This window comes from Homo sapiens, chromosome 10 (assembly GCF_000001405.40).
Source record: "Homo sapiens chromosome 10, GRCh38.p14 Primary Assembly".
NCBI classification, from domain to species: Eukaryota; Metazoa; Chordata; class Mammalia; order Primates; family Hominidae; genus Homo; species Homo sapiens.
Genome location: NC_000010.11, coordinates 1,534,360 through 1,556,534, shown reverse-complemented (window position 1 = coordinate 1,556,534; position 22,175 = coordinate 1,534,360). Strand labels below are relative to the sequence as shown.

General features: G+C 52.3%; 1 protein-coding gene and 1 long non-coding RNA gene across 3 annotated transcripts in view, besides 2 other annotated features; one reads left to right on the top strand and one right to left on the bottom strand.

Annotated features, from left to right (window-relative positions):
• The window catches only part of ADARB2 (adenosine deaminase RNA specific B2 (inactive)), a 560,213-nt gene that overhangs the window by 180,991 nt on the left and 357,047 nt on the right, over window positions 1-22,175 (top strand). The window lies entirely within an intron of this gene.
• The window catches only part of ADARB2-AS1 (ADARB2 antisense RNA 1), a 30,379-nt gene that overhangs the window by 474 nt on the left and 7,730 nt on the right, over window positions 1-22,175 (bottom strand). The window contains exons 1-2 of one of the 2 annotated variants that reach the window (NR_152792.1): window positions 9,671-9,775; window positions 8,360-8,454 (exon numbers count right to left, since the gene is read on the bottom strand). The exons of the other annotated variant lie outside the window; for it this stretch is intronic. This is a non-coding gene — a long non-coding RNA (ADARB2 antisense RNA 1). Of the gene's footprint in view, window positions 1-8,359; window positions 8,455-9,670; window positions 9,776-22,175 lie in introns of those variants that run through there. 2 annotated transcript variants of the gene reach the window in all.
• Window positions 3,804-4,331: an enhancer, noted in NCBI's record as "H3K4me1 hESC enhancer chr10:1594399-1594926 (GRCh37/hg19 assembly coordinates)". NCBI's record gives its function as "activates a minimal SCP1, AML or CMV promoter by ChIP-STARR-seq in naive H9 embryonic stem cells {active_cell/tissue: H9 hESC(naive)}" and the evidence as "EXISTENCE:reporter gene assay evidence [ECO:0000049][PMID:30033119]".
• Window positions 20,770-21,969: an enhancer, noted in NCBI's record as "P300/CBP strongly-dependent group 1 enhancer chr10:1576761-1577960 (GRCh37/hg19 assembly coordinates)". NCBI's record gives its function as "activates an origin of replication core promoter dependent on BRD2, BRD4, P300/CBP, MED14 and CDK7 cofactors, with strong dependence on P300/CBP, by STARR-seq in HCT116 cells {active_cell/tissue: HCT116}" and the evidence as "EXISTENCE:reporter gene assay evidence [ECO:0000049][PMID:35650434]".

Here is a 22,175-nt window from a genome sequence, read left to right as displayed (position 1 = left end):
CCCAGGTGATTCGAATGCACAGCAAAGTTTGCGAAGCACCAGCAGGGAGTAAGAGGGAAGGGAATATTTAGAGACAAGGAGGAAGACGTAGAGCATTTTTGCTGGCAGGACTCTGGAATCGGCACAGGGTAGAGTTGGGAATTGCTTCACCAAGAAAAGTGGAAACACAAATCCAAGATTTCCTACACAATGCATCTATCCCCTTCCTCTTATAGAACCCCCTCAAGCAAAGGGATTTGTCCCCCAGTAAAGAAATTTAAAAAAAAAAAAAAAGACTTTTTGTTTGAGAGGAAGGCTTTCTTTGAAGGTGCTCTTGGTGGGGTGAAGAGGAAAGGAAGCCATGGAGCCCTGAAGCCGTGTCCTCGTTTCCCAGCCACGGGAAGGTGCCCCCTCATCCTGGGAATTTCGTCACTTGAGCATCATATTAAACAGTGTGAGGAATTGAAGGATTCCAGACCCTAATCTCTAAGAGCTGATAATTCAGAATATATGAAAGACAGACAAAGAAAAACACAATTTCTTATGTTCAAATGTTTCCCCATTCTTTCATTAACATGCACAACATGTATGTTTTCAGTTTTTTGTTTTGTTTTGTTTTTTGAGACAGATTCTCACTCTGTCACCCAGGCTGGAGTGCAGTGGTGTGATCTCGGCTCACTGCAACCTCCATCTCCCATGTTCAAGCAATTCTCTTGCCTCAGCCTGCCGAGTAGCTGGGGTTACAGGCGCACGCCATCACACCTGGCTAATTTTTGTATTTTTAGTAGAGACAGGGTTTCACCATGTTGGCCAGGCTGATCTCGAACTCCTGACCTCAGGTGATCCAACCACCTCGGCCTTCCAAAGTGCTGGGATTACAGGCATGAGCCACCGCGCCCGGCCCATATATGTTTTCATAAGGCCCTCAGCTCTGCCTTGTAGTCTCGCATACCTGACACAGGGACACAGTTTCTTAATGAAGCCCCGGTCCATCCTTCATTTTTATCAAGAGCACACTCACTCACGGTCCCTGCAGTCAAACTTCTCACACTTCAAGAAACCACAGGACATGAGTTCCCTGAAACTTCATTAGCCCCCACTTCTCTTACGAAGGATGATTGAGCTTCAAATTGTATTTAAGATATATGCCTTTTCAATTATTAAAAAGTCAAAAAATAAGATGCTTGTGAGGTTGCAGAGAAAAGGGAACACTTATTCGCTGTTGGTAGAAATGTAAATTCGCTCAGCCACTGTGGGAAGCAATTTGGAGATTTCTCAAGGAACTTAAGACAACTGCCATTTGAGTCAGCTGTCCGATTACTGGGATATATATCCGAAAGAAAGTAAATCATCCTACCACAAAGGCAACATGCAGTCCCGTGTTCATTCACAACAGCAAAGATATGGAATCAGCCTAGGTGTCCATGAGCGGTGAACTGGATAAAGAAAATGTGGCACATTGACACCATGGAACACTATGCAGCCATACAAAAAGAATGAAATCGTGTCCTTTGCCAAAACATGGATGCCTCTAGAGGCCATTATCCTAAGAAAATTAATGCAGAAACAGAAAAACAAATAGTGCATGTTCTGATCCGTAAGTGGGAGGTAAACATTGGATACTCACGGATATAAAGATGGGAGCAATGGACCCTGGGAGGGGGCAGGGGGACAGGGTTGAAAAACTATTGGGTTCTATGCTCACTACCTGGGGCACGAGATCGTTCATATCCCAAACCTCAGCGTCACACAGTATACCCCGGTAACAACCTGCACACGTACCTCCTGAACCCACAAGAAAAGTTGAAGTTAAATGTTTAAAAATACCTTTTTAGTAGTGTAAACAAAGCTATCCTAGAAATAAGAGGCAAAACAGGCCCAGGACACACATGTTGCTTGAAATCGGAAAGGACCTACTGATGCCCACAATAACTGAAGTACCGTTGGGGGCTGTGGGGAAAGCAGGAGAATGAAGGGAAGCCATCTGTGCCCTGAAGTCACCTCCCCCGGGGGAAGAAAGTTGTGCTTCAGCGTCACCAGCAGAACTTGGGGGGATGCTGGCTGGGGGACAGTGGAGACCGGGGCAGAGGTTCTTGGTGTGTTTTTAAGTGAAGTTTTAATCTCCAGCATACACCAGGGAAGAGACAGCATTCATTGATGGTTCTGTGACAGCCCAACCGTGAGAACAAAATGACTCTCTGCGTTTAAACCAGAGGGAATTTAATCCTAGGAGATGATTCCATGGGCCAGGGAAGGACTGGGAGCCCCACGAAAACAGCCAGGGATGAGGAAGCCACAGGCCCACCCCTGCCCCTGGCTGGGTGGATGCTGGAGAGCTGAGTAGCTGAGTAAGAAGCCCAGAGCCTAGGGCACAGGCCACCCGGAGACAGAACCAGGGCCTGCCCTGCAGATGGGTGGGGAAAGAGAAATAGGGCCGCTGAGATGAGCCTGGGGGACCCAGGGGGACTCAGACCCCAGATTCTGTCTCTGCCCTGGGCTGTGGGACCCAGGCCCCCTGAGAGGACGGAGCAGAGCTGAGCGCTGGGGGCAGGTTCCAACCCTGCACAGCCTCCACCAGCCGACTTTCTGGACTCCGGTTTACAGGCCTCCTCTGCTGATTTGTGTAATTTTAGAATTCTACCGGTTCTAAGTGAGCCTGGACTTCCTTTACAGGCCAGAGGTGCAGGGTTTGTGTTTGGGGCGATGGGAAATGCGTTTCCCGTGTGCGGGTGTGGCCTCTGTAGCTCGTTATTCCTGCCACGGTCGCTGCGCTTAGAAGAGCACAAGTGTCTTCTGCCTGCGCTCCAAACGCCTTCTTTATTCTTAACCTACTCTGGCAGTGCTCTCAAAAGCATGTATTTTTAGGCTTCTGGGTAGAAAGGACTGTGGTTCCTCTGGGAATAACCTGTTGGAAATCAAACAGAGAAGAAGCCGGGATGTTTCTGAACAATGCCAAGACGGAGCCGGCCTCCTCGAGTCCGTTAGAGCATCGCGTTCCTTTGATTTCCATTTTCGACGGCGCAAACTGCATCCTTCCTTTGAGACCGGCTAGAATCTTCTCTGATTAAAGGGTCTTCTGGCTTTCCATGGAAGCCTCTTCCTGGGAGCAGGCCAAACGTTTTAGTGAGAGGTCGGGTGCCTCTCGCGCTGCTGACGCCGTCAGAATCCGCTGCCTGCCTCGTCCATGCCAGTTCCCAGAAGGCGCCCGGTGCCAGAAGAGTTTGAACTTGATCCAAAATGTGTGCACCATGTAGCTTGGGAAAATTCAGCCATTAAAAGCAGCTAAAACTAAGCAATTTATGACTTACAGATGTCAATTTATGACAGAAATCACCGCATATATTGTACCAGCACAGTGACATTTTTTTGGTAATTAACGATTAAAACAGTCATTTCCCAATGTTATGAGCCACCTGGTGTCTGGTAGCATTCAGAGATGGTGCTGGCCTGGGCTGCGAGGACGCGGTGCTCCCAGCAATGGGGCAGGGTCTCCGGCAGGGAGCTGCGGGTGACACTGCTCTCCCCCCATGTCCCAGGATGTTCCCACAGTGACTGGGCACAGACCATGGGGGTGACATACAGTTTCTGCCTCAAAGATCCTGACAAACATTTGCTGAATGAGTGACTAAACGAATTAATTAAGGGTTCCGTTCCACAGGAGGTAAAAACCAAAACATACAGAAAATCTAGGCCAATAAAATACCTGCCAAGACCACAAGGATCCATTCCATTTCCGCCAGGGGTGAGTGTCCGGCAGGACCAGGCCAGAGGAAGGTGCTCTCTGACTCCAGGGCCACTCTTCAAGCCCTTCTCTCCCCTTCCCTCCCTCCTCTCCCCTTCCCTCCCTCCTCCTGTCGCCAATAGATGTGTTGATTGACTGTTCCCTGAAGCCGACCTTGGCAGCCCCTCGCTGAGTGCCGGGCAGGACCAGGCCAGAAAAAGGCTCTTCACGCCCTCTTCTCCCCTTCCCTCCCTCCTCCTGTCCCCAGTAGATGTGTTGATTGACTGTTCCCTGAAGCCGACCTTGGCAGCCCCTCACTGAGTGCCAGGCAGGACAGCCGCCCATGTTCTCTGGAGCCACTGTGGGGTGAACACACAGATCCTGCTCCCTCCGGCCCCCTGGGGTGAGCACTGGGGCTGTGCCTCCCACTTCTCTTCACCCACTCTCTAAAAGGCATCACCCGTGGGTCTGCAGGCATTTCATGCCCCTAATGCCCCAAGGACAGGGCCCCAAACTAGCCAGAGAGGAGGGAGCGTGCAGTGAAACCCGAGGCTGTATCCACTTACACGGCACAGGCCACAGCTGCCCTGGAGTGCAGTCCATGAGCTGCAAAGGAAAGGCTCCTGGCCCCAGGCCAGCTCCCCCCATGGGCATCCTGGGGGCTGCAGAGCCACCTGCTCGGAGTGGGAGTGGCCAGGAGCAGCCTTTAACCCCTGATTGATAATGACTTGGTGGCAGGATTGGGACTGTATGGTTCTGTGATCGGCTGCGAGGGAGGAGGCTCAGGCCACATGCGGGAGGAGGGCTTGGCCTCCACGCAGGAGGCCACCTGGAGCCGCTCAGCCTCACTCACCTCACTCCGCCCCCCTGGGGTGGCCACGCTGCCCCTCCTGAGGCCAGGACTCCATGTCTGCAGTATAAAGGCCAGTCAGTCCCATTCTGTCTGCCTTTCCCAGCACATTCTGACAAGCCCAGCTCAGCCCTCACTTCTCAGAGCACCTGTCTATTTGGTACATTGTGTCCCGGAGACATTCAGAGCCGGAAGCCCGGCAGGACCTTCGATTTGGCCATCGCTGGACCTGGGGCCCATCGGCCACCAGAGGGGCAGGAAGGGGATTTTGGAGCCAATCCCAGGCCCTGGCGCCTCAGGTGCTCCCTCTGTTTTCTTGTTTCATTTCTGGGTTACCAGGTGAGATGTCATTGGAAGAAAGACCTTAAAATTATTTTATTTTTGCTTTAAAAATAATAATGGAAGTTTTACCAGTTCTACAATAGAGGGATGGCAGGAAGGGCGGGCAGAGGGACAGCCGCCCAGGAAGGGAAAGTGTGAGGCCTGCTCCTGGCAGTGCAGTCCTGCTCGAGCCTGCCTCTTTTGCATCTTCTGGATCATTGAGAAACTGTCTGGGTGAAGGTGAGAAGGACTTTACCACTGTGGCAGCCCGGACAACAGGTTTTCCTCTCTTAAGCAAGTGGAGAATAATTTAGCTGGCTCCTATAAGTTTCCTGGGGCTGTCATAAGACCACAGCCCAGGTGGCTTCAATAATAGACATTCACGTTGTCACAGTCAGAGAGGCTGGAAACCCGAGATCAAGGTGTCCAGGGGCCTGGTTCCTCCTGAGGCCTCTCCATGGCTTGCAGATGGCGTCTTCTCTCTGTGTCCTCACAGGGTCCTCCTTCTGTGTGTGTCTGTGTCCTCATCTCCTCTTCTTATAAGGACACCAGGCAGGTTGGACCAGGGTCCAGTCATATGACTTCATTTATCTTCATCAGCTCTGTAAGGACACCATCTCCAAACACTGTCACCTTCTGAGGTCCTGGGAGTCAGGGTTTCCACGTGTGAATTTTGACAGGGCCGAATACAGCCCAGAACAGCCCCTTTTCTGCCGTCCTTTTTATTTTAAAAGCACAGTGCACCTTTAGTCTCCGAACTCCACACCATTCTTCCTGTTGCGGCACAAACAGGGCTCGCACGGCGGCCTGGGAAGCGCGGGGACCGTTAGGCGGAGACTCTGCATTCTAGATCTACCATCTCTTCACCTTCACTCTTGCCAAATGACTAAGCACTCGGGGTTGTGGCTTTCTTGTCTGTACAACAGAGGTATCTACTGGTCTCCAAATCTCTTCTAGCTCCCACGACCCTAACAAATTCCAAAATCAGTTCCTTTCACTCCAAAGCCATGAGACTGCATTACACTAAAACCTCTCCAGTGTCGGTCTGTGTGGCTGCAACCTCCCTGAAGGGGCCTGAGGTTCATGCCATTTATATCTCCAGTAAATCGTGGTAAATTGGGCCATGTGGGCCATCGGCTTTCATCAACTAGAGAGCGTCATTAGCTGCAAAAATGTGTTGACTCATATTCGTTGGTTTTCAAAGACCTATGGTGGCTCTGAGGTTTCCAGAGCCAGCACAATCAGTGCAATTACACTGAGACTCTCCAAAGAATGAGCTTTCTCAGAAAATAGCTGCTGTTCGCCGTGTCAGGCCAAAGGTACTCTAGGAAGGCATTTTCCGTGGTACTTTGAGGTTAGCACTTCCAGGAAATTCAGGGAGAATAAAGCAACAAGGAGGTGCTTAAAAATTCGATCAGAGGCCCAGAGAGGAAAACAAACAAAATGTAGTTGTGTGTTTTCCGAGTACAGTGGAGCAGGTGGCCGGGCAGCCTGCAGCGGGGAGGGGTTCCAGGTGTGGGCTGTGGTGTGGGGAGCAGGGACCCCATTTCTCAGAGCTTATTGGAAAGAGGGAAAAATCTCTTTGGCCCTGCTGGGTGTAGGGAAGACTTTGTTTGTCTTTTTGTGTTTACTTTTCAGTCCCTGGTAGCCTCTTATAAACAATATGGTGTGTTGTGTTTTGGAGGGATTCCCTCTATTGTAAGCTTGTATTGCATATTAACAGAAACTCAAGGCTTCCTGGATGGGCACAGAGAGCTCCATCTAATCTCACGCTGCAGACCCAGCACCCAGGAGAGGGGGTGAGAGGCTCTCCTGGCTGCCGTCTCTCCGGGATCGCAGTTGGCTGGAAGGAAGGGTCTGGGGTGGTTCCCACGCTTGAACAGGGATCGGGTTGTCCCGCTGGGCACCCTGTGATATCTCCTGCCTTTCCAGGGCATCGGTTTTGGAGTCTAGAGGATGGGGACAATGGGTTTGGCCAACTCTGTGACAATGAGGAGGAAGAGTGCATTGCGTTCTCTCTTACGCAGCTCTCTCAGTGCCGTGCTCTGCATTGCGTTCGCCTCTTATTTAAACTGTTTGACCATGCGTGGGTCTCGGAGGAAGAAAAGGAGGCAGCGTCTTCTCTTAGCACAATCAGGACAAATCCATGCCACTGGGTGGAAACACCAACCCCGGGCACCCTGCTCACCCCTGCACCCTCCTCCCGTCTCCCTCCTTCCTTCCTGCATTTCTCCCACAAATATACCTTTGGAATAATCAAATAACAAAGATGAATCACAATCCATCCACTCCCAGGGCTTTCAAAAAGAGCGCCTTGTGTCCCTGCTAAACAGAGACAGTCGAATTTTTTTGAGGAAACTTGTTTGCCTGCTGAGTTCCAACTTACACACTCAGCCATGTCTGCTCCATGCCTCACCCCACTCCGCCTTTCAATGAGAGGAGGGGACCCCCCCAGCTCCACGCCCCACCCCACTCCACCTTTCAGTGAGAGAGGAGGGGACCCCCCAGCTAAAGTGATTCCCCCCTAGTGTTTCGAACTCCGTGTACCGGACGCCAGCCTCTGCTCCCACCCTGTACTGAAACCCGGCTGCAGTTCCCCTCAGACGTCTTCAGATTCTCCCTCTCTTTTAGCATCTTGTAGTTGGCAACTCAACATGCTTAATTCAAGAACAATGACAAACCAACGCCTCTCTCCCCCGCCCCTGTGGCCCAGCCAGATCACCTTAACAGCCCACCCTCATTCCTGCCAGGCCTGCCTCGGCCCCTCACACTCTGGCCACTCACTTGTCCCTTTTAATAAAACTGTCAGCCCAGGTCACAAAATAACTCTTCCCAGGTTCCTAACTCGCCAGGTGTCCTGGCATCACGTGACACCATTAGCCAACCTCCCTTGAGTGTGGTAGGTTCCATGTAGTTTCTGTCAGCTTTTTCTCTTCCTGTTTCTTTCTGTCAGTGCCAGTTTCTCTTTCTCTCCTTATCCTAGATCTTTACTCCCCCTACACTTACTGGACGGCAATTCACATCTGTGGCTTCAACTGCAACCCACGCATTTGCCAAATCTGACCCTCTAGTGAGACTTTATTCACCCTGCTCCACTGCCTCTGGGGTATCTTGGCTGCGATATCTCACTGGCCTTCCCAAATTCAAAGTCTGTGAAACTTAGTTTGTCATCACTGTCTCTGGACCTACACAGTGTATTCACCATGTCAGTGAAGGGGTCTTTGGCTATGCCGGGGGTCCCCGAAACCCCCCTCAGGCTCTGTACTCACTGGTACTCACTGGGTAGGGCTGGCGCACCAGCAGCCATTGTTTAACATTGTGAAAGTCCACAAATTGTCACCAGCGAAGGGAGGGGAGCCTGGGTGACAACAAGGAGAATCCAGGCATTTGCCTCCAGACATCCTTGCCCAGTGAGTTGCGGGAATGGGCTTAGTTCCCCCAGAAATGATGGTGATAATGTGTGCAATGACACCAGCTGGAAAACTCACCTGAGCCTCCGGGTCCAAGGTTCAGCTGGGAAAGTTCACCTGAGCTTCGGCGTCCAAGGTTTTTATTGAGGGTCAGTCACTTAGGGAGGCAGTGTCTGTGTGACAGACCACAGCAGCTCAGACTCCAGCCTCCCAGAGGGAAAACAGAAATTCTCTATAATTCCATTATTAAAATAAACTATATGGTCAAGCAAGTACCACGTGTCCTGAATCCTCAGGCCCACAAAACACTGTGACCAGGCAAGGCCTTCCCAGGCCTGTCAGGGGCCTCCCAACAGCCCTGCCCTGAGTCTTGGCTCTGGCCTTCAGATCAGTCCTGCAATGACAAACCAATGCCTATCTCCCCCTCCCCACAGTGTATACACCTGTGCAGCCTCTTGCCCCCTCCCCACAGTGTATACACCAGTGCAGCCTCTCCCCCCAACACAGTGCGTAGACTTGCACAGCCTCTCTCCCCCTCCCCACAGTGCATACGCCAGTGCAGCCTCTGCCCCCAACACAGTGCATAGACTTGCACAGCCTCTCTCCCCCTCCCCACAGTGCATACGCCAGTGCAGCCTCTCCCCTCAACACAGTGCATAGACTTGCACAGCCTCTCTCCCCCTCCCCACAGTGTATACACCAGTGCAGCCACTCCCCCACAACACAGTACATAGACTTGCACAGCCTCTCTCCCCCTCCCCACAGTGCATACGCCAGTGCAGCCTCTCCCCCCAACACAGTGCATAGACTTGCACAGCCTCTCTCCCCCTCCCCATAGTGCATACGCCAGTGCAGCCTCTCCCCCCAACACAGTACATAGACCTGCACAGCCTCTCTCCCTCCCCACAGTGTATACACCTGCACAGCCTCTCTCTCCCCCAACACAGTACATAGATTTGCACAGCCTCTCTCCCCCTCCCCACAGTGCATACGCCAGTGCAGCCTCTGCCCCCAACACAGTGCATAGACTTGCACAGCCTCTCTCCCCCTCCCCACAGTGTATACACCTGCGCAGCATCTCTCCCAGTTTCCCCAAAGGTAATGATGTCACCTGCACTGCTATGCACACAGAGTGGTGACCGACAGGCCACAGTATCTTATCTTCAGGTCCTGTGTCTGTGTAGCCAAGGCCTCCCACCCGCGTCCCGCTCTCGACGAATGGCTTCTGTCTGCTCCTGCCAGGCTGTGTTTACTGACCTGTTCCTAACATGCAGTGCTCACTGGGTTGTTCACCCTTTCCCCAAAACCAGTGAGTGTGTTCGCACTTCACAGACCCTCCCTTCCTGGCAGCCCTGCCTCCAGCCAGCCCTCATCGCATTCCCGCCTTGCCTGGCATTAGCCGATGGATGCAGAGGGCTTATCCGGCTTTGCAGGGAGTCGTTTGTCAGGGCCTTCCATCGGAATGGCTATCGGGAGATGGGTAATGGGTTCTGCAGCCTTTCGACCTCCCAGCGTTGTTTTCACCCTTTGCCCAGCTGTGATCTCCTAAACATCATTACCATCCTCCAGCCGGGACGTGGCCTTTCTGCAAAGGCTTTAGCATCTGCCTTAAGGGGCAAGAGATGCCTGGTACAGGGTGGCACTCTTGTCTCAGATGAGACCCAGGACACGGAGAGTTGCTGCCCCTTCTCCAGTGACTTGTGGTGGCAGTGTTGTGATTGGAGAGCCACAGTGTCCCCAGGCTGTGTCCCCATCTCCTCACCATTTCTCCTCAAAGTCAGGAGCAGGACAGACAGGCAGAATTTTTCACTGCGAGTTGCAGGTGGTAATTTTAGAGCTGGTCAACAGTGGTAACGGAAGCACGGGAGAGCCTTCCCACCCCGTGGAGGCCGGTCTGTAAGTGCAGGAACCTGTTGCCGAAACACCAGGGTTTTGACCTACATCCTGCTGCTCTCTGCACGGAAAGCCAATCACTGGGACCACGAGTACTGCTGACGCAGAGGAGAGGAGAGCTCAGTCTCAAATCCATCTCCTGGACCGACTAAAATCGGGAGTTCACGTAGCAGGGAAGAAATGTAACCATGTGTGGGAAAACAGGAACCAGGGAGAGTTAGGGGGAGCCATCAGTCAACAGGCAGCAGGTGGTCACAAAGGCAGTCAAGGCAGGCAAGGGGCTGGTGTCTTGCTCTTCCGATGCAGTGATCTGGTGAGTTTCAGCTCCTTGGTGCTTTCTTTTTTTTTTTAAAGGACTAAGGGTCATTTCCTGAGGAAGAAACTCAGATAAAGCAAATGTAATTTTCAAGCTTTAAGACCAGAAGGGTCCATTTCTCTGTTCATTTCAAAAAGCTATGGGACTGTTGGGTCAGTTTGAAATCTGTGCTCCCTGCAGCCTCCCTCATCCTGCCCACTAGCACTGGCCGTTCTGCTGACTGCTCCCAACACTAGAGAGTGCAGGGCACTGACTACATGCCCCGTGCGCCCTCACTGCGCTTCTGCCTCTGCTGACCTTGGGGCTTCCTTGTTGCTTTTCATGGAGTGCAGCACAGTCACCATAGGCCCCTTTGCCATCCCTGCCAAGGCTGCCCACACCCACGAACAGGTAATACCCCTTGGCTGCTAAGGCCACAGCATTCCCAGAGCTCCACGAGGACCCTTCCTGGCTAACCGAGGCCATCTTCCTTAAGGGAAGGGGAGGAAGGGGAGGAAAAAGTCAGGGAAGAGACAAAATTCGCAGTCAAGGTCACTGCCCGCGGGAGCTCACTGAAACTCTCTTCTAACTTTGTGTACAAGGAAATCCATTCTCATTTCTGTTCTACTTGTTTTCCTTTATCTTATATCCCAGAGAATCTATGGTTTACTGTTACAAACATCCCCCAAATGTTCAGATCACACTGATTTTAATTATTTTGAACTATCTTTAAACATAAGAAAGATAGAAAATGGAAGAAAAGTGCAAGATGTAGCTAGTCTTCCAGAGAAGGATGCTGGTGTGAATTGCACCCACTGTATCTGGTTCTGAAAATATTCCCTAGTGGGATCAATACTCGTTAGGAAGCATGGAGCCATGGCTGCACTGTGCTACACACTCTTCAGAATGAAGTGGCACCGCATGACACAGAGGCTCAGAATGCCAAGGCCAGCAGCTGTGAGACAAGTGGAGAGATGGAGCTGGTATTTCAACTCCTGTTACTGGGTGCTCAGCAAAAGTCAGTTCACCAAGCCTACCAGACTTCCCAGGGACCATCCACATTCCTGCTGCAAGGGACATTGTGTGTGTGTGTGTGTGTGTGTGTGTGTATACTTTGCTATTATAGACTTCACATATTATATAGACTTTACCTAATATGTAGACTTTATATATAATGTAGACACTTTGAATTATATAGACCATACGTATTTTGTTTACTTGACATATTACATACTCTTTACATATCATATACACCCTACATGTTATATAGACTTTATGTGGTATGTACACTTGACATAGCATTTGTACTTTACAAATCATATAAACTTTATTATGTGTACTTTACATGCTACATACATTTCACACTGTATGTACACATTACACATCGCATTGACTATACCCGCCTCCTAGACGTAAGAGCAGGGTCTGTACCTGTGCATCCATTCCCGCCCCTGTACCCCCTGTCCAGGCCCCGGCATTATCCTCCTGCCACCACCTGCTGTGCCCGGCCCCAACAGAGCCTTCTCCAACCCTGCAGACCCTGCCGTGACGACTCTGGCTGGGTCCTCTGGAATCCAGAAGGGTGGTCTCTCAGGCAAGCAGCTAGTCCACGTCCCGTGTGAAAAGCCACAGACCCCCAAGCCTGCTCCTGAGAAGCCTGCCCTGGGCCAAGGAGTGGAGCTGCTCATCAGAGCCCCCGAAGGTGGCACACAGCCCAACACTCCGCACCCCCGGGGGCTTCATGCTGCTGCCCACCAGGTGGTGACCAACGGGAGGGGCTGTGGCCACTCACCAGCCAGTGCCCCTGGAAACTCAGCAGCCCTGGTGCCACCTGCCCCAGGCCAGGCTCATCCCACTGCCCTCCCAGACCCTGGCGTTGCTTTCAATATTCACATAACAAGAGCATGGGGTTTCATGACCGTCCTGAGCAGGGCCCAGAGAGTCTGCCTGGGACGGCTCTACTCCACGGTCAGGAAAACACACAGTGAAGTCATCATTGCCCTTTCATCACGTCCCTGAGGTCACCATTTTGTGTGTTTTTTTTTTTGTTTGTTTTTTTTTTTTTTTGGTCACCTGCCATTCTCGCTTTCAGTAAGAGCTATCTGTGGACCATCACAAACATGTTAAGGTCCCATTTTGCAAGAGATAAGTTCTTAAAATACAGACAAAATTGACTTGATGGGATGAACTTGAGATTTCTGGCCAGAGCTGCCTCACGTCACGGGCGGGCTGTAAACTTAATGAGTCTTTGCTGTTGCACTAATAAGCGGGCCCAGCGCTGCCCCTTCACAGGGAAGAAGAAGGAACGCAGGCCCGGCTGCTCAGGAGAGCACAGGCACAGATAATTCCACCACATCATGGTTCGGGTCTATTTTTTATTTCCAAAGCTCCCTTTATCCGTTGAAGAATGAAGTTGGTGACAATTTATCTTTCCTCTGATGGTAGCGTTTCCTTTCCAGTTGAAATCTCTTCATCTGCGAGGGTGTGTGGGAGACGCCAATAGCTCCCAGCCCGAATAAATGCGGCAATGGACGGCAGATCTGCCGTTACTGCAATGTCTAAATTGTCCTTCAATTAAGCTGGAGAGCTTTCTGAGAGCTTTAATTGATCTCTTTTTAGATACAATGAGCTATCAAAAATGGAATACTGAATAACAGGCTTGTTGTCCCCGTCTGCTATTCAAGGGAGGAGGGAGCTATTTAAAATGTGTTCCCAGCATATTAATTGCAGGAGGCCTTGACTGCACTGCAGACCCACCTGGAGGACGCCCTTCACAGGCAACTCTTTGAAGTTGGAAGGACCTGGCGCAGCCCTCCAGATGAGGCCTGGTAGAGGAGGGCGGGCAGGACGCCCGGCTTCTGCTTCTCAGGGTTTCGTTTCTGGCTCTCAACGCCGCCATCCTGCACCGTGGGAACGCAGAGAGCAGGGAGAGCAGGGAAGCCACCCCACACCGCCCCAGGGTGGAATCCCTTCCGTCCCAACAACCCAGGCAGGGAAGCCGCACCGTCGCTGTAACAGGCCTGAAGCTGCCCAGCGCGGAGCTGCAAGTGGAAAAACACCTGGACAAGAATCTGCTCGGGCGGACGGACAGCTGTGATCCAGGGTCCCAACTGCGTCTGAGTGGGGTCTGGACGGCTGTGATCCAGGGTCTGAACTACATCTGAGTGGGGTCTGGGCGGCTGTGATCCAGGGTCTGAACTACATCTGAGTGGGGTCTGGGCGGCTGTGATCCAGGGTCTGAACTGCGTCTGAGTGGGGTCTGGGCGGCTGTGATCCAGGGTCTGAACTGCGTCTGAGTGGGGTCTGGGCGGCTGTGATCCGGGGTCCGAACTGCGTCTGAGTGGGGTCTGGACGGCTGTGATCCAGGGTCCGAACTGCGTCTGAGTGGGGTCTGGACGGCTGTGATCCAGGGTCTGAACTGCGTCTGAGTGGGGTCTGGGCGGCTGTGATCCAGGGTCCGAACTGCGTCTGAGTGGGGTCTGGACGGCTGTGATCCAGGGTCCGAACTGCGTCTGAGTGGGGTCTGGACGGCTGTGATCCAGGGTCTGAACTGCGTCTGAGTGGGGTCTGGACGGCTGTGATCCAGGGTCTGAACTACATCTGAGTGCGGTCTGGGCGGCTGTGATCCAGGGTCTGAACTGCGTCTGAGTGGGGTCTGGACGGCTGTGATCCAGGGTCTGAACTGAGTCTGAGTGGAGTCTGGACGGCTGTGATCCAGGGTCTGAACTGCGTCTGAGTGGGGTCTGGACGGCTGTGATCCAGGGTCTGAACTACATCTGAGTGCGGTCTGGGCGGCTGTGATCCAGGGTCTGAACTGCGTCTGAGTGGGGTCTGGACGGCTGTGATCCAGGGTCTGAACTATATCTGAGTGTGGTCTGGGCGGCTGTGATCCAGGGTCTGAACTACGTCTGAGTGGGGTCTGGACGGCTGTGATCCAGGGTCTGAACTGCGTCTGAGTGGGGTCTGGGCGGCTGTGATCCAGGGTCTGAACTGAGTGTGAGTGGGGTCTGGACGGATCCAGGGTCTGAACTGAGTCTGAGTGGGGTCTGGACGGCTGTGATCCAGGGTCTGAACTACGTCTGAGTGGAGTCTGGACGGCTGTGATCCAGGGTCTGAACTGCGTCTGAGTGGGGTCTGGACGGCTGTGATCCAGGGTCTGAACTACATCTGAGTGCGGTCTGGGCGGCTGTGATCCAGGGTCTGAACTGCGTCTGAGTGGGGTCTGGACGGCTGTGATCCAGGGTCTGAACTACATCTGAGTGCGGTCTGGGCGGCTGTGATCCAGGGTCCGAACTGCGTCTGAGTGGGGTCTGGACGGCTGTGATCCAGGGTCTGAACTACGTCTGAGTGGGGTCTGGACGGATCCAGGGTCTGAACTGCGTCTGAGTGGGGTCTGGGCGGCTGTGATCCAGGGTCCGAACTGCGTCTGAGTGGGGTCTGGACGGATCCAGGGTCTGAACTGCGTCTGAGTGGGGTCTGGGCGGCTGTGATCCAGGGTCCGAACTGCGTCTGAGTGGGGTCTGGACGGCTGTGATCCAGGGTCCGAACTGCGTCTGAGTGGGGTCTGGACGGCTGTGATCCAGGGTCTGAACTGCGTCTGAGTGGGGTCTGGACGGCTGTGATCCAGGGTCCGAACTGCGTCTGAGTGGGGTCTGGACGGATCCAGGGTCTGAACTGCGTCTGAGTGGGGTCTGGGCGGCTGTGATCCAGGGTCCGAACTGCGTCTGAGTGGGGTCTGGACGGCTGTGATCCAGGGTCTGAACTGCGTCTGAGTGGGGTCTGGGCGGCTGTGATCCAGGGTCTGAACTGCGTCTGAGTGGGGTCTGGGCGGCTGTGATCCAGGGTCTGAACTGCGTCTGAGTGGGGTCTGGGCGGCTGTGATCCAGGGTCTGAACTGAGTGTGAGTGGGGTCTGGACGGCTGTGATCCAGGGTCTGAACTGCGTCTGAGTGGGGTCTGGACGGCTGTGATCCAGGGTCTGAACTACATCTGAGTGGGGTCTGGGCGGCTGTGATCCAGGGTCTGAACTGCGTCTGAGTGGGGTCTGGACGGCTGTGATCCAGGGTCTGAACTGAGTCTGAGTGGAGTCTGGACGGCTGTGATCCAGGGTCTGAACTGCGTCTGAGTGGGGTCTGGACGGATCCAGGGTCTGAACTACATCTGAGTGGGGTCTGGACGGCTGTGATCCAGGGTCTGAACTACGTCTGAGTGGGGTCTGGACGGATCCAGGGTCTGAACTACATCTGAGTGGGGTCTGGATGGCTGTGATCCAGGGTCTGAACTACATCTGAGTGGGGTCTGGATGGCTGTGATCCAGGGTCTGAACTACGTCTGAGTGGGATCTGGACGGATCCAGAGTCCGAACTGCGTCTGAGTGGGGTCTGGACGGCTGTGATCCAGGGTCCAAACTGCGTCTGAGTGGGGTCTGGACGGCTGTGATCCAGGGTCCGAACTGCGTCTGAGTGGGGTCTGGACGGATCCAGGGTCTGAACTACATCTGAGTGGGGTCTGGACGGCTGTGATCCAGGGTCTGAACTACGTCTGAGTGGGGTCTGGGCGGCTGTGATCCAGGGTCTGAACTACGTCTGAGTGGGGTCTGGGCGGCTGTGATCATGGGGTTCAAATTGCGTCTGAGTGGGGTGCTACCTTCTAAGGCCGCAGGTGAGACTCACGTGCCCTGGAACATTCCTTGAGGCAGCCAGACCAGGAGGGCGGGGGCTGTTGCCTGACGTGCCCTCGGTGGCATAGACTGAGTTTATTTTCATTCTCCTCCTGACCACGTTGGCCACCGAGAAACTCTTCATTTCCTAAATCAGATGTGGACTTGCTCATCTCAGGACCCACGGGCTGCCCTTTAGGGACCAAAACACATGTGTCAGCCAAGAACGAGCAACTGCAAATAAAATCCTGTTTTCTTCTTATATTGTTGAGAATCGGGGCCTTGATTTGGTTCCCAGATTTTAAAAACAAGTCAGAGCTGCCACGATTCAGATAAAATCCAAACTGTCTCTTACACCTCTAATTATCAGCTTGCCTTCTGGGTAAAATGGTGCTATTCAATTATTGGTTTTTGTTCACTTGTCAACCACCAAAAGAAAAAAAAAATTATCACTGCTTTCAAACCACTAAAAGAACAGAAATTCTGCAAATTGCCTTCTAAACATAGCTACTTCCGACCCAATACCTCTTTGCAGAGTGTCAAAAATTGTATAATGTTATGTTGCATGCAAATCATATTTAACGGGGGCTGTTTCTAAGATTTTGTTTTACATTATGTAATTTCATTGAAGTGAATTATTTTGTCACCACTTTATGTGTGGCTCATTTTGACACTTTCCACTTATCACATAAAATATACGTTTGATCCAGCCCCTGTAAATAAAAGCAAAATTGTCAAACAGGAGCATGCCGCTTTAAATTCCCTCGCAAAGTGAAGGCAATAACTAGCTCTCCTGGGCAACTTCAGGGTTCCAAACACCATGGGTGGGCCTCCCCAATTTCCGGTGTACCCTCTACCTTGCCAGTTGTGTTTCATTTCCTGTTTGAGAGAAATGAGACCACCATAGGTAGCCTAGTCCCGGAGAGGTTACTTGCACTTCAACACCAACAGGCCCAATGTCCCCTTTCTGTAGCCTTGGAAGCCAGGCACACAGCACTGGTCGATGGGTTTGCATCAGACCAGACCATGGCATGGAGAAAATGGCACCAGCCGCTGTGGAGTGAGTGCCTAACACCTGCAAGGCTTAGGCAGAGAAGGACTCCAGGCCCCTTCATGCTCACTAGCAAGTGGGTAGCACATCTGTTGCACTGCTGAACCAAAAAATAAATAAACGAGAGACAAGGCATTCAGGAAATGTTAAGTAAGGTGCATAATCCCAGAGCAGCTACATCCTAAGGCCGGCTTTGAACCCAGAGTGCTGCCCCTGGAGTTTCTGTTATACCCGCTCTGGCCTTGCCTCCCCTCCGCTACAGTCTCCTAGAGGAAACTCTGGCTGTAGGATGCAGAGACTCACATCCCAGGGCCGACGTGCATGCTGTGTGGAGCCAGGCAGGTCTCTGCCCTCTCTGGCCTGAGACCCCTCACCTGTCGTGAGAATGACGCCTGCACCCTCTGAGACCCACAGGACTGCAGAGAGGCCTCGGTGAGGGTGGATGGGATGCCGTGCAGTGTGAACTTCTGGGCAGGCAGAGCCTGTCACTCTCCCTCTAGGGGTGGAACTGAGTGTCCACTGCATGCGGCAGCAGCCAGGGTCAGGCGGCATGGGCAGCAGAGGCTTCTCCTGCCCTGATTTCTGCTGAGTTCCTGTCCTCGACTCCCATGGCCCCGACGTTGTGACGTCCTCTAGTGGCACTAAAGGACCTCGAGCCCCTCGGCATGCCTGGCCTCAGCCTACTATACCCTCACCCAGGCCACGTCCATGGGCAGAACGCTCCCCGTCCACCACGTGATGCCCATCCTCCAAGTGCCCTGTGGCCTCCATGCCTCTCACTCTTCCCGCAGGTCTGGGTCAGGTGTGCGTCCAGCATGTCCTCTGGGGGCCGCGTGATCCTCTGAGATAACTCACACTGGGCTCTGCCACAGCTGCCCACTTCTCTCTCGTCTACCAGATGCTTGGGGATGTCCTGTCTCACTCCTGGATCCCCTGTGTCTAATGCAAATTGAGGAGAGGGTGAAGGAGGGATCAGAGGAGACCCCTCCGGCTTGTGCTCTGGAAGGGGCTTCGCAGTCTGGCCAGTCCCAGATCAAGACCCCTGTGGGACACCCACCAGCCGGCACAGACCCACGGGCTCCCTCCTTCCCAGAGGTCTGCGACCCCTGCAGCCACAGCCACAAACGCAGGCACTGGAGAGACTGCCAGGCTCTCTGGACACATGCAAGAACACGGCATTGGCCCTGACAGGGAAGGGAAGGGAGGCAGGCAGGTGCTCAGTACATCCAGCCTCTAAAGGAGATCCCCCAGGCCTCTGTGTCATCTGTGTGTGTCTCAGAAGCACTCCAACTTGAGCCCTTCACCACCTTGCTCTAGGAGGAGCTACTGCTTGCAGTTCTGAACTTTCAATTTTTTAAAAAAAGCAATTCTTTTTCTTTTTTACTCTAAGTTCCAGGATACATGTGCAGAACGTGCAGGTTTGTTACATAGGTATACATGTGCCATGGGGGTTTGCTGCACCTGTCGACCTGTCATCTAGGTTTTAAGACCGGCATGCATTAGGTATTTGTCCTAATGCTGTCCCTCCCCTCACCCCTCACCCCCTGACAGGTCCCGGTGTGTGATGTTCCCCTCCCTGTGTCCATGTGTTCTCATTGTTCAACTCCCACTTTTGAGTGAGAACATGCTGTGTTTGGTTTTCTGTTCCTGTGTTAGTTTGCTGAGGATGATGGTTTCCAGCTTCATCCATCTCCCTGCAAAGGACATGAGCTCCTTCCTTTTTATGGCTGCATAGTATTCCATGCTGTATATATGCCATGTTTTCTTTGTTCAGTCTATCATTGATGGGCATTTGGGTTGGTTCTAAGTCTTTGCTATTGTGAACAGTGCTGCAATAAACATACGTGTGCATGTGTCTTTATAGTAGAATAATTTATAATCCTTTGGGTATATACCCAGTAATGGGATTGCTGGGCCAAATGGTATTTGTGGTTCTTGATCCTTGAGGAATTGTTGCACTGTCTTCTGCAATTGTTGAACTAATTTACATTCCCACCAACAGTGTAAAAGTGTTCCAATTTCTCCACATCCTCACTGGCATTTATTGTTTCTTGACTTTTTAATCATTGCCATTCTGACTGGCATGAGATGGCATCTCAGTGTGGTTTTGATTTGCATTTCTCTAATGACCAGTGATGGTGAGCTTTTTTCATATGTTTGTTGGCCTCATAAATGTCTTCTTTTGAGAAGTGTCTGTTCATATCCTTGGCCGACTTTTTGACGGGGTTGTTTGTTTTTTTCTTGTAAATTTGTTTAAGTTCCTTATAGAGGCTGGATATTAGACCTTTGTCAGATGGGTAGCTTGCAAAATTTTTCTCCCATTCTGTAGGCTGTCTGTTCACTCTGAGGATAGTTTCTTTTGCTGTGCAGAAGCTCTTTAGTTTAATTCAATCCCATTTATCAATTTTGGCTTTTGTTGCAATTGCTTTTGGCATTTTCGTCATGAAGTCTTTGCCCATGACTATGTCCTGAATGGCATTGCCTAGGTTTTCTTCTAGGGTTTTTATGGTTTGGGGTTTTACATTTAAGTCTTTAATCCATCTTAAGTTAATTTTTGTATAAGTAAAAGGAAGGAGTCCAATTTCAGTTTTCTGCTTGCGGCTGGCCAGTTTTCCCAGCACCATTTATTAGATAGGGAACAATTTCCCCATTGAAAAAGAGCAATTTTTATTTTCTCATTTTTCTTGGGAACATTTTGCCTGTCTAGAGCCAGAGTCCTAGTTACAACATTCAGAAAATAAACATATAAGCTAGATTCTAGAGCCGTGAGTAATCTGAAAGGAGGCGGCCACCGTCCGGTGCCAGATGCCACATGTGAAGTGGAACGTGGAGACGCAGGTGCAGACCTGCCTTCCCAGTCCGTTGCTGATGGAGAAGCCTCAAGGTTTTTGGGTGACACTGTGCTGGGAGGAAGGTGTCTTAGCCCACTCAGCTGCTATCACAAAATACCATAGATTTGGTGGTTTAGTTTAAACAATAAATGTTTATTTCTCAGTTCTCAAGGCTGGAAACCAAAGACCAAGATCCAGCCCACTAGGATTGCCATGAAGGCCCCTTCCTGGCTTGTAGATGGCGCTTTCTGTGTCCTCGTGTGGCAGAGAGCAAGAGCCCGGTCTCTTTCTCTTCTAATCGTGAGGGCCTCACCCTCAGGACCCCATCTAACCCAAATCACCTCCCCAGGAACCACCTCCTCATGCCAGCATCTGGAGTTGAGGCTTCAACGCCTGAATCAGGGGCACGACACAGGGTTGGACCCACCCTGCCAGGAGCTTGGGCACTCTCCTGCTGCTGCCCATGTTTCTGGGGCCTGCTTGATGGGCCGGGATCTCTGTGTTCTCTTTCTATCCTAAAAGGCCAGGATTCCAAGTCATCTGTGAAACCATGGGAGAGAGATTTGATGTCTGCCTCCCTTTCAAATGAAAGGAAAAGACTGGGACGAGAGAGGGCGGCACTCCCCAGACAGGCCCTGACCACACCCTGGCCCCCACGCCTCAGCAGAACAACTCTGAACTTCTATGGACTCACAGGGGCGAGGTCGGGGCAAGGGAACTCAGGGCCTGCACTGCTCACCAGGTGAGAAGTCACAGCTGGTTAGGAGGCCACAGGTAAGCAGAGGTGCGAGCCACCCGGGACAGGGTGAGTTATGTCGACAGAGTCCCCTCAAGGGAACCCAGTGTCTTGGCAGCAGATGAGGCATGCGTCCCTGTCAGCCTCCACACAGGATAAATGGATGGCCCGGAATCTCGCCATCAGCGACATTGCCGTCTGGGGAAAAATGGGAGTTGAGTTTGATGTTATAAATCACCATAATTTGTTACAATTTCCAAAGACAAATATGACAGTGTGGAATTACTTTGCAGCGCCGAGGCTGTCATTTGCAGAAGCCGTAAAGTGCACGAGCAAATCTAAGAAGGAGATACATTTAATCTGAGGACGCAGAGCTCAGTATCACCTCGGAATATTGTGTTTACCGAGAACTCAGCTGCACTGGCACACGGAGGTATTGCCGAATGCTCATTTCATTCCACTCCGAATCAGACTGACTCTCGTCTGAAGATTTTGTTAGCAGCTGGGATGGATTCTCCTGGACAGCTTACATTTGCTCAGCTGGAGGAGAGAAGAGCTGATGTCTGTGTTGCCCGGGGACGGCGTAAAGAGCAGAATCCCAGCACACGCGTGACCGTGGGAACCTCCCTCACCATCATGGATCAGAGCAGGAGCCAGAGGGGTGTTGCGTGTCACCAAAATCCTGTTGAGGACCCATGGGTTGGCGAGGCGTGGCCTGCGTGCTGTTGCCTCGTCCTAGCTCATTCACCTGTGAATAACTCACCCCGTCCCTGGTGGCTCGCACCTCTGCTTACCTGTGGCCTCCTAACCAGCTGTGACTTCTCACCCGGTGAGCAGCGCAGGCCCTGAGTCTCCTTGCCCCGACCTCGCCCCTGTGAGTCCATAGAGGTTCAGAGTTGTTCTGCTGAGGCGTGGGGCCAGGGTGTGGTCAGGGCCTGTCTGGGGAGTGCCGCCCTCTCTCACCCCACTCTTTTCCTTTCATTTGAAAGGGAAGCAGATATCAAATCTCTCTCCCATGGTTTCACAGATGACTTCATTCACAATGATCTGGACACCTCTCCAGCCACTTCCCTCTCAGTGACGGGGCTGCACACGTGGGCAGGGAGCCATAGAGACGGGCATTGGTAGCAGCATCCGGAAATGAGACCACAGGGTAAAACAGGGAACACCATCAGCTCCGCCAACTAATGCAGGGATCATCTGCTGAGGAGACAGTTTCAGAAGCATCAAGGGAGGAAGTAATGGCGGAATTAAGCAGAAATGACTGCTCAGATGGGAATGGACATCGGAAGGCAAAGGCGGAAACGCCGAAAGCCTCCGGGTTCTTCTGGCCTTTGGACTTCAGTGCAAGAGGCCGGGAGCGGTGGCTCATGCCTGTAATCCCAGCACTTTGGGAGGCTAAGTTGGGTGGATCACCTGAGGTCAGGAGG